The 18,592-nt window shown below is 37.9% G+C and overlaps 1 protein-coding gene across 23 annotated transcripts in view, besides 2 other annotated features; it reads right to left on the reverse strand.

The window, feature by feature from the left end:
- PKHD1 (PKHD1 ciliary IPT domain containing fibrocystin/polyductin) overlaps window positions 1-18,592 on the reverse strand; it is a 472,317-nt gene that overhangs the window by 252,390 nt on the left and 201,335 nt on the right. For all 23 annotated transcript variants that reach the window (XR_001743469.2, XM_017010944.3, XM_017010945.3 and 20 more), the window contains 4 exons: window positions 18,179-18,284; window positions 15,405-15,539; window positions 2,816-2,951; window positions 175-421 (listed from right to left, as the gene is read on the reverse strand). Coding sequence is in view for 22 of the 23 variants with exons in the window: in XM_017010944.3 (XP_016866433.1) it covers window positions 175-421; window positions 2,816-2,951; window positions 15,405-15,539; window positions 18,179-18,284 (624 nt within the window). In the remaining variant the exon portion in view is untranslated. The remainder of the gene's footprint in view (window positions 1-174; window positions 422-2,815; window positions 2,952-15,404; window positions 15,540-18,178; window positions 18,285-18,592) is intronic.
- Window positions 6,738-7,464: an enhancer, noted in NCBI's record as "OCT4-NANOG-H3K27ac-H3K4me1 hESC enhancer chr6:51739224-51739950 (GRCh37/hg19 assembly coordinates)". NCBI's record gives its function as "activates a minimal SCP1, AML or CMV promoter by ChIP-STARR-seq in naive H9 embryonic stem cells {active_cell/tissue: H9 hESC(naive)}" and the evidence as "EXISTENCE:reporter gene assay evidence [ECO:0000049][PMID:30033119]".
- Window positions 7,465-8,191: an enhancer, noted in NCBI's record as "OCT4-NANOG-H3K27ac-H3K4me1 hESC enhancer chr6:51739951-51740677 (GRCh37/hg19 assembly coordinates)". NCBI's record gives its function as "activates a minimal SCP1, AML or CMV promoter by ChIP-STARR-seq in naive H9 embryonic stem cells {active_cell/tissue: H9 hESC(naive)}" and the evidence as "EXISTENCE:reporter gene assay evidence [ECO:0000049][PMID:30033119]".

An 18,592-nucleotide genomic window follows, 5' to 3' on the forward strand; every position in this document is an offset into this window, starting at 1 on the left:
AAAACTACCATACACTCATGATTCAGCAGCTGTCAAAATTATTCCCATTTCACTTCTTTAGAGCTAAATACTTCAAATAATCTAGAAAACAATTTCCCTTCTATAAGCCTCGACAGCCAGAATAACAGATGCATGCCCATCGGCAAGCTAAAAAGTATAGTTAATTCCACTTACAAACCAATAGACATACGATGAAAAAGAACACCTCCTCCACAGGCACTGCCATGGACAACCCGACCAAAGCTTGAATTGACCAAACAAGAAGCTGAAAGGGTTTCCATAGAAGCAAGAATGTGACTTCTGTTTTTCCCAGACAGAGACCCATCCAAGTCTTCCAAAATTGCTGCATGAGGAAATGGAAATGCCACTAAGTTTGAAGAGTTTGTAAACTTCAACTGGCTGGTCTTCACAGTAAATCCACCTATAAATTGGAAAACAGAAAGATTATTACACAATGGCACAAATAGCAACTAAATTCACTGGAGTGATGGTCTTAGGATTTAAATTGCATATTTATCTAGTTTTACAATTCACCTATTCATGCAAGAAAAAAAGTGTTTTCTGTGGGTGTTTTACAGTGAGTGTTTACTGTCTACCAAGCTCTGGTGTGCTAGAGATACTAAGAGGTATAACTGCAGCATTGGCCCTACCTTCATGCAGTCTATAGTCCACATTGTAGGGCAGTGATTTTTCTATCATGGTTGATTTTACCTTCCAAGAGACATGGCACTATTTTCAATCATTTTTGGCTGTCACAATTGGGGAGCTGGCAGTGCTACTGGCAGCTAGTAGGTAGAAACCAGAGATGCTGCTAAATATCCTACAATGCACAGGACAATCCCCACAACAAAGAATTATCTCACCCAAAATGCCAATAGTGCCAAGGGTAAGAAACTCTGGTCTAGTGGGAAATAGAAGCAGAAAACATTAATTTATTAATTACTAAGCACCAAAGATGCTATGGTTTAGTCTTCCAATCTTTCAGCTTTCATTCCTCTGTGGTGAGTCTAACCCCTCCAATACCTCTTACTATAAGGTTTATTTAAACATTTACTTTCAAAAGCAAACTCAATTAATCACTTGGGCAAATAGTATTAGTAATACACTTTCTAAGTATTAGCTGTAGGGCCACACTTCTTGGCAGTCTTTCCCCAACACCACTGCCATGTGACTCATTGGTACTATCAGTCCAATTGCCTAAAAGGAAAGTATGGCAGTGATCTTCTAATTCACACACCCATGTCATTAAAGGAAGAAAACTAAGTACACATCTCCCAGTACACATACTACCATACCATAATATATTATGTACATTATAAAATATAAAAAAAAGAAAATAAAATGAAAAAGATACAAATAGAGGCTCTAATGTTTTCATTCTGCAGCCCAATAGAGTACATGCAGTGAATTGATTCATACATGAAAGGCTACACAATTGCACCTCTTGCAACTTCTGTATTTCATTTGATACCACAAACCACCTGCAGCTCTACATTTCAGTCATACTGGACTTCTTTGTGATTTCCCAAGCACAACTTACTTCTTGGATTCTATTTTTTGTGTGTATACTGTTCCTAGAAATTCTTCCTTGCATATACCTTCTTGCAAACTTCTATTCACCTTCCTAAACCCTACTCAAGAATAACCTCTATGAGCTCTTGCCTGACCCCCTTCCTCGGCCCCTTCACTGACTTTGTTGAGTCCTCTATTACTGCGTTCATCATGCTCTCTTACAATAATAGGCTTGGACATTTATTTTAGTGCCTAGATCAAGAGTTCCTGGAGGACAGAAACTATGTGTTTTTTATATTTGTACCCCCTAGGTCCTTAAGCAGAGCCTGAAATAGATGGTATTTAAGCAAATGAAAAGAGGGGTTAGCCAATACTATTCAGTGAAAAGGGATTAGAGTTCATAGGAGTAGTGTGATTTTTTTTCACTGTCTCATGAATGATATGAAATAGTCAAGATATTAAAGAATTGAGGAATTGCGATTGCAAGCACTTGTTATGAGGCATTTTTATTTCTATTATTATTTCTACAATCCTAAACTCAGATGCCACCCAAATAAAAACAATCTTTCATTCTGCCTACATAGGAAAAAAAAGTAAAGTGGAGACTTGTTGATTATTCATTTAATTAAAAAAACAAACAATTATCTAAATTGGTGATTCAAACCACAAGAGCATATTTACTTAAATTACTTGGTTTGGCTGTTTACGATGATCAAATCAACTAGATTACTCTCTACCTCTTTCACCTTGGCCCATGAGTCCTCCAAGTTATTTCTTACCACCTCTGAGATGTGGTTAAAAAGTGAGCAAGAACTCCTATGTTTCCCTTTGTGCATACATCAAGCCCTGGACTGTTGAAAACATTAAGTACCTGAACTTTGGCTCCTTCAGGAAAGGCTGTATGCATGTTAGTTTATACCAGGTATCTACCCATCTAACTCCATTCTTTCATTTAATCAATAAACTGCCTACTAGGCATCTGGCTCTGTGCTAGCTACTAATAATTAAAACTCTGAGCAAGAAATACATGATCTCTGCCTTTATGAAGGTCAGAGTCCAGCAGAGACATAGGACCATAATGATAGAATGTGATAGGCACCATAATAGGAGCAGGACAGGGAGCTGCAGAAGCTGTACTGGGAGAACCTCCAGGATGTCTTTTAGGAGATTTAAGCAACAGTTTCTACTGATGCAATCTTATAACTGAAAGAGATAATGATTCACAAAGTATTTGCCACTATTTATAATACTGACTTGAATATGGGCCTTATTTATCATCTGTTCTGTCTATTCAAATAATTACCTTGTCCTTGGGAACAGTCTGAACAGGTTCTAATGGCCACACAGTTGATGAGATCAAAATTAACAAAGGTTGTGTTAGACACCATCAGTTCCCATCTTTTAGGAGTTTTAATCCCAGATGACATACACAGACTTCCCTGTGATTTAAAAGAAAAAAAGATGAAAGCAAAATAAGAAAACTGGACACATGAAATACAATTCATAATGCATGAATAAAAACAAAGATAAAAAAGCGAGCTATTGACTAAGAGAAAATATTTGCCAATCACACATATGACAAAGGACCTATATCCAGAATATAGAAAGAACTCTTAGGTTTCAACAGCAAGAAAATAGACAACGCAATTCAAAAATCAGGAAAAAAAAACCTTCAAAAGATAACCCAGAAAAGAAAATATACAGATAGCAAATAAGCACAGAAAAAAAAAATGTTCAACATCATTATTCACTAGGGAAATGCAAATTAAGATCACACTAAAATATACTATGCACCTATTGAATGAATAAATAAAAATACAGTGACAATAGTAAGTGCTGATGAGGATGAGAAAGTATTAAAACTCTCCTGTTTCTAGTGGAATGCAAAATGAGACAGCCACTGTGGAAAACTTTGGCAGTTTCTTATAAAGTTAAATATGCCCTTATCATATGACCTAGCAATTCAACTCCTAGGTATTTACCTTGGAGAAATGAAAACTTACATTTATATAAAAACCTGAGACAAATGTTCATAACAGTTCCATTTATAATCACCAAATATGGAAACAAGTCAAGTGCACCTCAATAAATGAATGGATTAACAAACTGCATTACATCTATCTAATGGAATACTATTCGTCGATAATAAGGAATGTAATATTGATATGTGCAACAAGTTAGATGAATCCCAATGGCATTCAGGAGTGAAGGAAGCCAGTCCCAAAAGGTTACATACTATATGACTCCATTTATATGACTGTTGAAAAGGCAAAACTATAGTGACAGAGAATATATTAGTGATTGCCAGTGGTTTAAAGCAAGAGGAGGCTGTGGCTACAAAGATGGAGCAAGGAACTGGGGTGGATGCAACTGTTCTGTGTCTTGATTGTCGTGGTGGTTGTTACACAAATGTGTACATGTGTTAAAGCTCATAGAACTGTACATCAAAAAGTCAGTTTTGCTGTATATTAATATATTTTAAAAACTTTAACAAAAAGTCTGAAAAGAAAGAAACAATAAGTGTTTTCATGATTTTCCACAAAATCTCTTTGACAAACACTATCCAATCAAGCTGCTAGTGCCTCACTGTTCCATTGTTAAAAATAGTCTTACATTTGAGGATTACCAGAATTTTTGCAATCACTCCCAACATGAAAAATGATGAAACAATAAACAAATAGCAGAAAAGAAACTCAGTGGACACAAAGCTAGTCTAGAAATCAGAAGAAAACAAAAACTATAATTAATGGCCTTGGAGAAATAAGTATATTATATCCATGAAACAAATAGAAGCCTAAAATATTATTTTTAGAAAAAAAAGGAAATAGGAGAGTAGAAAAAAGGAATTCAATATCATAGAAAGTAGAACAAAAAGACAAAGAGATGGAAAATCAGTAAGAACATTAAGATGAGAAAAACATTCCAGGAGGCCCAATATTTAAATAATCATAGCTTTAAGGAAAAGAGGAAAACATAGGGGAAAGAATTATCAAAGAAATAATTGAAGAATACTGTGCAGAAGGAAAGGATATAATTTTCCAGACTGAAAAGTCCCACTCAGTATCTAGCACAATGTTTAGAAAAAGAGCCACAGCAAAGTGCATCATATTGAAATTGCAAAACACCAGGGACAAGGACAAGTTCCTAAGAGCTTTCAGAGAGAAAAAAAATAAGTTACGTACAAAAATCCTGGAATCTGAGTTTTTGTTTTTTGGTTTTTTTTTTTGAGACAGAATCTCACTCTGTTGCACAGTCTGCAGTGCAGTGGCATGATCTCGGCTCACTGCAACCTCTGCTTCCTGGGTTGAAGTGATTCTCCTACTTCAGCCTCCCGAGTAGCTGGGACTACAGGTGCTTGCCACCACATCTGGCTAATTTTTGTACTTTTAGTAGAGACAGGGTTTTGCCATGTTGGCCAGGCAGGTCTCCAACCCCTGACCTCAGGTGATCTGCACACCTCGGCCTCCCAAACTGCTGGGATTACAGGTGTGAGCCACTGAATCTGAGTATCTTAAAACTATTCAGCCTCAAGACCAGAAGGAGCTACAAGATGATGGAATATTGCCTTCAAAATTTCAATGCAAAATGAACTTCAACCTGGTATCCTGTAACCAACAATCTACTAATAAAGGGGTCTCCATATATAGCTCAGAACTTTCACCTTCCATCGTTTCCTTTTTTTTTTTTTTTTTTTTTTTTCAGAAAGTTACCTTAGGGTATGTTCAAACAAAATGAGGAATTAAGCCAGAAAAGAAGAAGATGTACGAATCAGAAACAAGAGTTCCAATACTAGACAGACATGAAGGAAATCTCCAGGATAATGTTCAAGGGAGATTCTAAGATGGAGCTTTGAAACCCTTCTTATACATTGCTGGTGTAAGCATAAACTCTGGATTGTTGCTTGGCATTATCCACTAAAGTTACACGATGATCCAGCAATTTTACAACTTGGCTTATATTCAACAGAAATGCATGCACATGAAGACCAGAAGGCATATAGAATAATGCTTATAGCATTATTATTTGTAAATAACCAAACTTACAAATGATGAAAACAACCAGGTACAATAAGTTACATGCTTTATGATTCCATTTAGACCAACTTAAAAAACAGGAGAAATTAATCTATATCGATAGAAGGCTGAATAATGCTTGCCCTTTGGCTAGGGCGTGCGGAGTGGGGTTGAATGGGGGGACAAGAAGAGGCTTTAGAGGAGCTGATAATGTTCATTTATTTATTATTAGTTTTTATTTTTTAGAGACAGGATCTTGCTCTGGCAATGTTCTATTTCTTGTTCTTAGTTGTATACATATACATGGTTGGTTTGCTTTGTAAAAATCCACTGAGCTATTCCCCTATGATTTGTGCACATTTCTCCATAAATGTTATATTTCCATGAAACATTTACCTTAAAAAGTAGGACAAATACTAGAGAAAGGTAACATAGAAGATGAGAGGGTAAGGAAAGAAGCTAAAGGAGTTTAATGTCCTTGCATTACTTATGTAAAGTTTAACAGTGCTGATGTAATTTAGACTTTGTTAAGACAAGCAGGCACATTAAAAACTTAAGGCCAATAGCTAAAATAATCATAACAGAATGGATAACTTTCAAATGAGTAAATATAAAAATATGCAACACAAGACAAATCAAAATAGAAAAGAAGAAAAAAACAGAAACCAAAAACGGATTGCAAATTGAAAGTGCAAAATAAGATGGTAGAAATAAATGCAAATATATGGGAGACATCAGCATGTGGAAGGTAATTGAAACCACTAGAGAAAATGAGATTTCTCCCAGGGAGAGCTAGTATATTGAGAAGAAAAGGGGCCCTACAACAGAATTTAGGGAAACAAAAAGATGAAAGGTCTAAATTGAAGAAGACAAATCCACAAGTGAAAATGGGAAATCACCCCTAGAGAAATAGGAGGAAGAATGAAGCAACTCCATCAGCATCTGTCTGAATACGGTATTTTTTAAAGTAGCATCATCTGCTCAAATTAATTACAATAACAACGAAGACAGCCATCCTACAGATACTTCGATAAGTAGGGTGACCGTAATTTAAATTAAAATTAGACATTTTTTTTAGTGTGAAAGGGTATGTTAATTAGACAGAATGCTGGGACAATAGGTATAAACAAACTACGCACCCAAACTAGGATATATCGTCATGCTATATAGCACATGTCTTTCTTGTATATTTAAGTCATTCGTACTGAAAATTATTCTATTCATCTCAATACAAAGGTAACATTGGCTGTGAGAGTACCAACACACGTACAGGTATGCTTAAAGGAAAAAAATTCCTTCTGATGATAAAAAGTTCTTCCAGAAAGTAATGTTTATTTTAGGATGTGACTCACAGATAATTGTATGCCACCAATTATATATGAGTGGAAAGTCTAACAATGGACAGGCCAAATTCTTTAAAAGTCTTAATTCCTGGCCAGGCGCAGTGGCTCACGCCTGTAATCCCAGCACTATGGGAGGCCAAGGCGGGCGGATCACGAGGTCAGGAGATTGAGACCATCCTGGCTAACATGTTGAAACTCCGTCTGTACTAAAAACACAAAAAATGAGCTCCGGTCTACAGCTCCCAGCGTGAGCGACGCAGAAGACGGGTGATTTCTGCATTTCCATCTGAGGTACCGGGTTCATCTCACTAGGGAGTGCCAGACAGTGGGCGCAGGCCAGTGTGTGTGCGCACCGTGCGCGAGCCGAAGCAGGGCGAGGCATTGCCTCACCTGGGAAGCGCAAGGGGTCAGGGAGTTCCCTTTCCGAGTCAAAGAAAGGGGTGACGGACGCACCTGGAAAATCGGGTCACTCCCACCCAAATATTGCGCTTTTCAGACCGGCTTAAGAAACGGCGCACCACGAGACTATATCCCACACCTGGCTCAGAGGGTCCTACGCCCACGGAATCTCGCTGATTGCTAGCACAGCAGTCTGAGATCAAACGGCAAGGCGGCAACGAGGCTGTGGGAGGGGCGCCCGCCATTGCCCAGGCTTGCTTAGGTAAACAAAGCAGCTGGGAAGCTCGAACTGGGTGGAGCCCACCACAGCTCAAGGAGGCCTGCCTGCCTCTGTAGGCTCCACCTCTGGGGGCAGGGCACAGACAAACAAAAAGACAGCAGTAACCTCTGCAGACTTAAGTGTCCCTGTCTGACAGCTTTGAAGAGAGCAGTGGTTCTCCCAGCACGCAGCTGGAGATCTGAGAACGGGCAGACTGCCTCCTCAAGTGGGTCCCTGACCCCTGACCCCCGAGCAGCCTAACTGGGAGGCACCCCCCAGCAGGGGCACACTGACACCTCACACAGCAGGGTATTCCAACAGACCTGCAGCTGAGGGTCCTGTCTGTTAGAAGGAAAACTAACAACCAGAAAGGACATCTACACCGAAAACCCATCTGTACATCACCATCATCAAAGACCAAAAGTAGATAAAACCACAAAGATGGGGAAAAAACAGAACAGAAAAACTGGAAACTCTAAAACGCAGAGCGCCTCTCCTCCTCCAAAGGAACGCAGTTCCTCACCAGCAACAGAACAAAGCTGGATGGAGAATGATTTTGACGAGCTGAGAGAAGAAGGCTTCAGACGATCAAATTACTCTGAGCTACGGGAGGACATTCAAACCAAAGGCAAAGAAGTTGAAAACTTTGAAAAAAATTTAGAAGAATGTATAACTAGAATAACCAATACAGAGAAGTGCTTAAAGGAGCTGATGGAGCTGAAAACCAAGGCTCGAGAACTACGTGAAGAATGCAGAAGCCTCAGGAGCCGATGCGATCAACTGGAAGAAAGGGTATCAGCAATGGAAGATGAAATGAATGAAATGAAGCGAGAAGGGAAGTTTAGAGAAAAAAGAATAAAAAGAAATGAGCAAAGCCTCCAAGAAATATGGGACTATGTGAAAAGACCAAATCTACGTCTGATTGGTGTACCTGAAAGTGATGTGGAGAATGGAACCAAGTTGGAAAACACTCTGCAGGATATTATCCAGGAGAACTTCCCCAATCTAGCAAGGCAGGCCAACGTTCAGATTCAGGAAATACAGAGAACGCCACAAAGATACTCCTCGAGAAGAGCAACTCCAAGACACATAATTGTCAGATTCACCAAAGTTGAAATGAAGGAAAAAATGTTAAGGGCAGCCAGAGAGAAAGGTCGGGTTACCCTCAAAGGAAAGCCCATCAGACTAACAGCGGATCTCTTGGCAGAAACCCTACAAGCCAGAAGAGAGTGGGGGCCAATATTCAACATTCTTAAAGAAAAGAATTTTCAACCCAGAATTTCATATCCAGCCAAACTAAGCTTCATAAGTGAAGGAGAAATAAAATACTTTATAGACAAGCAAATGCTGAGAGATTTTGTCACCACCAGGCCTGCCCTAAAAGAGCTCCTGAAGGAAGCGCTAAACATGGAAAGGAACAACCGGTACCAGCCGCTGCAAAATCATGCCAAAATGTAAAGACCATCGAGACTAGGAGGAAACTGCATCAACTAATGAGCAAAATCACCAGCTAACATCATAATGACAGGATCAAATTCACACATAACAATATTAACTTTAAATATAAATGGACTAAATTCTGCAATTAAAAGACACAGACTGGCAAGTTGGATAAAGAGTCAAGACCCATCAGTGTGCTGTATTCAGGAAACCCATCTCACGTGCAGAGACACACATAGGCTCAAAATAAAAGGATGGAGGAAGATCTACCAAGCCAATGGAAAACAAAAAAAGGCAGGGGTTGCAATCCTAGTCTCTGATAAAACAGACTTTAAACCAACAAAGATCAAAAGAGACAAAGAAGGCCATTACATAATGGTGAAGGGATCAATTCAACAAGAGGAGCTAACTATCCTAAATATTTATGCACCCAATACAGGAGCACCCAGATTCATAAAGCAAGTCCTGAGTGACCTACAAAGAGACTTAGACTCCCACACATTAATAATGGGAGACTTTAACACCCCACTGTCAACATTAGACAGATCAACGAGACAGAAAGTCAACAAGGATACCCAGGAATTGAACTCAGCTCTGCACCAAGCAGACCTAATAGACATCAACAGAACTCTCCACCCCAAATCAACAGAGTATACATTTTTTTCAGCACCACACCACACCTATTCCAAAATTGACCACATAGTTGGAAGTAAAGCTCTCCTCAGCAAATGTAAAAGAACAGAAATTATAACAAACTATCTCTCAGACCACAGTGCAATCAAACTAGAACTCAGGATTAAGAATCTCACTCAAAGCCGCTCAACTCCATGGAAACTGAACAACCTGCTCCTGAATGACTACTGGGTACATAACGAAATGAAGGCAGAAATAAAGATGTTCTTTGAAACCAACAAGAACAAAGACACCACATACCAGAATCTCTGGGACGCATTCAAAGCAGTGTGTAGAGGGAAATTTATAGCACTAAATGCCTACAAGAGAAAGCAGGAAAGATCCAAAATTGACACCCTAACATCACAATTAAAAGAACTAGAAAAGCAAGAGCAAACACATTCAAAAGCTAGCAGAAGGCAAGAAATAACGAAAATCAGAGCAGAACTGAAGGAAATAGAGACACAAAAAACCCTTCAAAAAATCAATGAATCCAGGAGCTGGTTTTTTGAAAGGATCAACAAAATTGATAGACCGCTAGCAAGACTAATAAAGAAAAAAAGAGAGAAGAATCAAATAGACACAATAAAAAATGATAAAGGGGATATCACCACCGATCCCACAGAAATACAAACTACCATCAGAGAATACTACAAACACCTCTACGCAAATAAACTAGAAAATCTAGAAGAAATGGATACATTCCTCGACACATACACTCTCCCAAGACTAAACCAGGAAGAAGTTGAATCTCTGAATAGACCAATAACAGGCTCTGAAATTGTGGCAATAATCAATAGTTTACCAACCAAAAAGAGTCCAGGACCAGATGGATTCACAGCCGAATTCTACCAGAGGTACAAGGAGGAGCTGGTACCATTCCTTCTGAAACTATTCCAATCAATAGAAAAAGAGGGAATCCTCCCTAACTCATTTTATGAGGCCAGCATCATTCTGATACCAAAGCCGGGCAGAGACACAACAAAAAAAGAGAATTTTAGACCAATATCCTTGATGAACATTGATGCAAAAATCCTCAATAAAATACTGGCAAACCGAATCCAGCAGCACATCAAAAAGCTTATCCACCATGATCAAGTGGGCTTCATCCCTGGGATGCAAGGCTGGTTCAATATACGCAAATCAATAAATGTAATCCAGCATATAAACATAGCCAAAGACAAAAACCACATGATTATCTCAATAGACGCAGAAAAAGCCTTTGACAAAATTCAACAACCCTTCATGCTAAAAACTCAATAAATTAGGTATTGATGGGACGTATTTCAAAATAATAAGAGCTATCTATGACAAACCCACAGCCAATATCATACTGAATGGGCAAAAACTGGAAGCATTCCCTTTGAAAACTGGCACAAGACAGGGATGCCCTCTCTCACCGCTCCTATTCAACATAGTGTTGGAAGTTCTGGCCAGGGCAATCAGGCAGGAGAAGGAAATAAAGGGTATTCAATTAGGAAAAGAGGAAGTCAAATTGTCCCTGTTTGCAGATGACATGATTGTTTATCTAGAAAACCCCATCGTCTCAGCCCAAAATCTCCTTAAGCTGATAAGCAACTTCAGCAAAGTCTCAGGATACAAAATCAATGTACAAAAATCACAAGCATTCTTATACACCAAAAACAGACAAACAGAGAGCCAACTCATGAGTGAACTCCCATTCACAATTGCTTCAAAGAGAATAAAATACCTAGGAATCCAACTTACAAGGGATGTGAAGGACCTCTTCAAGGAGAACTACAAACCACTGCTCAACGAAATAAAAGAGGACACAAACAAATGGAAGAACATTCCATGCTCATGGGTAGGAAGAATCAATATCGTGAAAATGGCCATACTGCCCAAGGTAATTTACAGATTCAATGCCATCCCCTTCAAGCTACCAATGACTTTCTTCACAGAATTGGAAAAAACTACTTTAAAGTTCATATGGAACCAAAAAAGAGCCCGCATCGCCAAGTCAATCCTAAGCCAAAAGAACAAAGCTGGAGGCATCACACTACCTGACTTCAAACTATACTACAAGGCTACAGTAACCAAAACAGCATGGTACTGGTACCAAAACAGAGATATAGATCAATGGAACAGAACAGAGCCCTCAGAAATAATGCCGCATATCTACAACTATCTGATCTTTGACAAACCTGAGAAAAACAAGCAATGGGGAAAGGATTCCCTATTTAATAAATGGTGCTGGGAAAACTGGCTAGCCATATGTAGAAGGCTGAAACTGGATCCCTTCCTTACACCTTATACAAAAATCAATTCAAGATGGATTAAAGATTTAAACGTTAGACCTAAAACCATAAAAACCCTAGAAGAAAACCTAGGCATTACCATTCAGGACATAGGCGTGGGCAAGGACTTCATGTCCAAAACACCAAAAGCAATGGCAACAAAAGCCAAAATTGACAAATGGGATCTAATTAAACTCAAGAGCTTCTGCACAGCAAAAGAAACTACCATCAGAGTGAACAGGCAACCTACAACATGGGAGAAAATTTTCGCAACCTACTCATCTGACAAAGGTCTAATATCCAGAATCTACAATGAACTCAAACAAATTTACAAGAAAAAAACAAACAACCCCATCAAAAAGTGGGCGAAGGACATGAACAGACACTTCTCAAAAGAAGACATTTATGCAGCCAAAAAACACATGAAGAAATGCTCATCATCACTGGCCATCAGAGAAATGCAAATCAAAACCACTATGAGATATCATCTCACACCAGTTAGAATGGCAATCATTAAAAAGTCAGGAAACAACAGGTGCTGGAGAGGATGTGGAGAAATAGGAACACTTTTACACTGTTGGTGGGACTGTAAACTAGTTCAACCATTGTGGAAGTCAGTGTGGCGATTCCTCAGGGATCTAGAACTAGAAATACCATTTGACCCAGCCATCCCATTACTGGGTATATACCCAAAGGACTATAAATCATGCTGCTATAAAGACACATGCACACGTATGTTTATTGCGGCACTATTCACAATAGCAAAGACTTGGAACCAACCCAAATGTCCAACAATGATAGACTGGATTAAGCAAATGTGGCACATATACACCATGGAATACTATGCAGCCATAAAAAATGATGAGTTCATGTCCTTTGTAGGGACATGGATGAAATTGGAAACCATCATTCTCAGTAAACTATCGCAAGAACAAAAAACCAAACACCGCATATTCTCACTCATAGGTGGGAATTGAACAATGAGATCACATGGACACAGGAAGGGGAATATCACACTCTGGGGACTGTGGTGGGGTCGGGGGAGGGGGGAGGGATAGCATTGGGAGATATACCTAATGCTAGATGACACGTTAGTGGGTGCAGCGCACCAGCATGGCACATGTATACATATGTAACTAACCTGCACAATGTGCACATGTACCCTAAAACTTAGAGTATAATAAAAAAAAAAATTAAAAAAAAAAAAAAAAAAAAAAAAAAAACACAAAAAATTAGCCAGGCGTGGTGGCAGGTGCCTGTGGTCCCAGCTACTCAGGAGGCTGAGGCAGGAGAATGGCGTGAACCCGGGAGGCGGAGCTTGCAGTGAGCCAAGATCGCGCCACTGCACTCCAGCCTGGGCGACAGAGCGAGACTCCGTCTCAAAAAAAAAAAAAAGAAAGTGTTAATTCCTAAAGGAATGGCAGGCACAAAAGACAGAGGCTAAAATCAGAGTCCCATAACCACAGAGGTCAGGAACCCTCTTTTTCTTTCTTTTTTTTTTTTTTTTTCTTTTTTTGGAACAACTGACACCTGGCAACATAGTGGTTCCCAAATAAATCTGAAAAATACTGTGCTAAGTAAAGATTAATAGATTTTTTTTTGCTTGTTCACTTTAATGCTAGAATTTCTCAGAGCCTTTAGTGTATTTTTTCAATGAATTTTATTCTGTATATTTGAGATTTACAACATATTACAGGGTACACATAGGTTATAGTGAAGCAAATCAACATATCTATTATCTCACAGTTACTTTTCTGTGACAAGAGCAGCCAAAATCCACTTATTTAACAAAATTCCCTGACACAATACAATTTTATTATCTCTAATGCTTATGTTGTACATTACATCTCTGGATTTGTTGGAGATTTTGGGAAATAGAGGGTACGGTAAACAGCACAGTATAAATATAATTATAACCAAATAATCTTCTCTTTCCAGACACTATCTAAGGGCTAGCTTTTCATGAAAAACACTTCAGGGAACATTGGTATGAACACTAATAAATGTCCTTTGCCAAAGCCATTTTCCATGTGCAATTGAAGAATATTTGACCAGGAGTGGGAGGATATCAGGGTGGTCCTAGCTCCACAATACTAGGCATGAACCTTAAACTGCCATTCAAGTTTCCAAGCCTCCATTTTCCCCTAAGTTCAAGAAGTTAACCAGATCATCTCTTAGGTAATAGTTGGCTCTTTAATTATGTGGTTTTATGATTTGGATAACTAACCAGCATCTAGACATCCCCTAGAACAAAACTGTTTAACATTTTCCACCAGGGGACTCTTGTCCTGCACTTACTTAAGAGACTGAAAGGCCCTCAGCTGTACTACATTCCTAGTGAATTACACCCCAAGGGTGTGATTATTTTTGATTATCTCATGATAGCCACCCTTTTGTCATAATTTACATCTTAATTTTTGTCACTTTCCCATTAATTATGATGTCTATTTAACATCAATTAAGATACTGCAACATTAATTTACCAAGACAGTTACTCAGTTTGCTGGGAATTTTGTTTTTAACATCTACTCTAAGGTTATTTCTGGAAAAGTTAAGGACCTCTGATGTACCACAGCATCACAGAATCTAAATCTGGGTACCATCCTCTCTTGAAAACTACACAGTCTGAAAGGAAGAATCATCTCTCAAGGTGGTAATCCTTTTAGAGGGAAAAAAAAACTGGCACTTATTTATCTCCTGAAAAGTATAGTTCAAAGGAGATTTTACTAAGAAAAGTTGAGAGTTAAATCCAGGAAAATGTAGCTCAATAAGAAAATGACTTTTAAAATCTTCACATTTTTATCTATAGCTGTGAAATAAATAATCTTCAATGGAAGTATAAGAATCAAAACTTATCATTTAAATTTCAATTGAACTAAGCACTCAGGAACAAACTGAAGAGAATATTCTTCCTTGGCTCCCAATAAATCTATGATTTCCATAATGATGTGATGACTAGTATGAATGTAGTTCTAATAAAAACAAGAACATAGGGGATCCATTATAGACCTGAAGCCTAAGAGACCAATGGCAGCCAGGAACCCCCACTTAGGAACTAGTGCTTCCCACCCGGGAGTACTCTTTGCCCCATCTGCATCCTTGTACCCTGAGAAGTCATCTAGAGTCTGATTTTTATCATGTGGAAATCCATACTTAGGCACATATTAGTGAATCACATACAAAATAACGAACTAGGCAAATTTCTATTTCATGATTTGACCTCTTACTATGAGTAATAATTCTAAATTGCAACCAAATAAAATTCTGTCAGCTACTTATGACTTCTGTGATTTATCTGTACTCATAACACTAAAGCACTGTGTATATATGAGTTCTATTATCAATATCACCACTATTACAAATAAAAAGGTCTTTTAACTTTTACTAATTAAATATGAGATTCACTAAAGAATGCTATTAAAATTGCATATCCTGGATCATCAGGGGGCCCAGCACATGTAATTTTGTTGTGATTGACAGCCTAAAACAACCACACTAAGGCACTTACCTTGTGGGCAAAATGACCAAGTAATAAGCTGTCAGTAACTGAAGTATTTGCATCACTTTCCAAGACGTCAATTCCAAAATCTCTGCATGAATAAACTTTGAAGTTTTTCAGGCGAAGATTGCTACTTCTAAAAATCTATAAAATACAGCATGTTACAGCAAAGGTCTGAGGCTTGGTTTTTCTTGCGGACTTCCTGTAGCTTTTAAAATTATTGATTAAGTAGAAAGAAGCATGCTATATTGTATTAAAGCACCTTTTGTCCATCAATGTCAGTATAGGCATCCTCAAGTTGCTGTGAGGTCAGCACTAATGAGTCTCCTTTGGTAACACCCCTTTGTACTTTTCATTTCTCCTCATAATAACCAATACATTAAAAAGATCAATATGAATTCTCCACATATCTAAAATAAACTTGGAGTGGCCAAATCACACAAAGGTAACAGAGAAAAACATTGCATCCAAGAACTCTAGTGCTTAACATTTTCTTCAATGTATTATATATTAACTCATACTGTCAGAAGATTGCAAATATGAAATAAGCAGCTCAGCATGACTACAGAGTCACTGTTTGTAATTTCAACATAAGTTATGTACATATATGTTTATGATAACCCAAACAGGGGTCATATAATAACAAAATTAGCTTGGTAGAGTTGTAAGTCTACTACTTGCTATGGTTTAAGCCTGTCCCCGAAAAAGCATGTTTTGGAAGCTTAATCCCTGATATAACAGTGTTAGGAGGTGTGTAGGTTATGAATGGATTAGTGCTGATTACAAAAAAAACTTGGGGCTGTGAGTTCTATCACTTGCTCCTTCTTTGACTTCTTTGCCCTTCTGCTATAGACTGATGCAGCAAGAAGGTCCTCAGAAGATGCTGGCCTCTCAATCTTGGACTTCCAAGCCTCCAGAATCATGAGCTAATAAATTTCTGTTTATTATAATTTTCCCAAATTTTATTATTCTGTTATAGCAGCACAAAAGGGACTAAGACACCACTGGTCTGGGAGACAGAGTTGTGCTTATGTTTACGTCTTTGACCAATTTTTTGCTAATTTTATTTATTATTAATACATAATGACTCATTTGAAGTTAATTTTTGTAAGTAGCATAAATTAAGGTAGGATACAACTTAATTCTTTTGTGTGTGACCATCTAGTTATACAAGCACCATTTGTTGAAAAGACTATATTTCCCACATTGAATGGTCTTGGCATCCTTTGTCAAAAATCATTTGTTTATAGATATATGGGTTTATCTCCAGACTCTCACTTCTATTTCATTGACATATATATCTATCTTTGTGCCCATATACCACACTGTCTTGATTATTGTTGCTTTGTAGCAAGTTTTAAAATAGGGAAGGATAAATCCTCTTACTTCATTCTTCTTTTTTGGTATAGTTCGAGGGAAGTTTACGTTTTAAATTTGCTGCTATTATGTTACTTAATTTTCCCCTTATTCTTCACTATAAAAGTGCAATTCCAAGAATATTTTTATTATTTAAACTTTTTGATTAATCAAATTTGAGTGCACAAGAGTTCAAGTTGTAGTTCTGTATTTTTTTCCTTCATAGGTTTAGCATTTCTGATTGCAGAATTTCAAAAAATGGCTTTATTAGCATCTTTTAATATTTTCATTTTACTAGATTATTTCCTCTAGAACCAGGCTACTCAAGAGCAGGGAGACAGAGTTTAAGCCCCTGCAGGTATAAATCACTTCTCTGCATAAGAGGGCACTCAACAAATGTTTCCACTAGATTTGTTACCCCTATAGGGTATATTTATAGTGCTCATGGGAAGCATTTTATAAAATTAAATGAGAACAAAATACTAAATACATTTCGGACTCCACCTGTTAGCTGTCCTAATTGTATATTTTTGGGCTTTCTTCATCCACAGTTATCTTTCTTTTATGGGATATATGAAACAAATGTTTGACTTTCTTATTGTGACATTATTATATGTTTGTATTCTATTTCCTGAAGGCTCTACAAACATAGTTCTTCACCTATATATCTTATGTTCCAGATTTCTAGGCAGAGACAAAGTGTATGTAATTTTGTCTGTATTGCATCAAATAGTGACCCTGAATAATTTTTACATGTTGCTGTTAGCAGTGAGCATGCAAAGCTTCCTTATAAGAAAATCATTGGGATAATGAAGAGTAAATGATTGAACATGAACCTTTTCTTTTCCTTTAAGAAAAAAATAGAAGAAAATTTAGCTTATTTCTTCTAAAGTAAGAGTGGTATCTTGAGCTAGAATGTTTGTGTATCAATGACGAACAGTGCTTTTTCTTAAGACTGGGGCATGTATTATTCAGGATATCGGGACATCAAATGCACAACATTTGGAGTCTAAATTCTGCACTTGGTTGTACTACTAACCAATTGTGTGATCTTTGACAAGTCCCTTCCCGTTCTTAGCCTTAATTTCTATCTCTAAGTAGAGATGGAAAGAAGGAATAGGGAACCTCTGTGATCTCCCCTGATTATAAATCTTTATGATTCTGTTGTTCTCTTCTAGGGTTGCCAAAAACACCCAATGGAGAAAATGACCTAACCCTGGATTAGTGACTAGGAATTTGTTTAACAACTATTCTACAAGCACCTATGATCCATTGGTGCTTTAAAATTGTGACAGCACAGCAATGCTCCCCTCAAGGGCAAGTCAATCCCATTTAAGTAGATATGCATAATGAATTGCTGTGAGAAAACAAGTGACAGTTTTAATTTTAAAAACAACAACAATAACAACAACAACAAAAAAGCTTACCTGGGCACCACCTGCACTTTCCCAAACTGTGAAGCTCTGGAACAGAGTGGTGCCAGTGACATTATCCCAAGGTGGCTGAAATTTAGGGTATACAAAGAGACCATACCTAAAAAGTGAAACAGAATGAAATTAAGCCAATTTTTATGTTTCTAACTTTCTACTTTTTCTTGTTGAAAAATACAAAGTAAAAGTAATGTATTAGGGAGAATGAAGGTAGATGGAATCTGTGACCCTCCCCCTAACTGTTCTTGCCTACCCCTCAGCCCTCCCACTTTTACCCTCTGTGACCTGCTCCCGAATCCCAACAAAATGCAGATTACTCCAGAGCCCAAGCCTAGCAGCCTCCCAGGGGCTCTGCATATTTGGAAGTTTAATTGCTCTCTCTATTGAATTATCTCTGGCCACAAAAGGTAC

The sequence above is a fragment of the Homo sapiens genome, chromosome 6 (assembly GCF_000001405.40).
Source record: "Homo sapiens chromosome 6, GRCh38.p14 Primary Assembly".
In the NCBI taxonomy this organism is placed as follows: domain Eukaryota; kingdom Metazoa; phylum Chordata; class Mammalia; order Primates; family Hominidae; genus Homo; species Homo sapiens.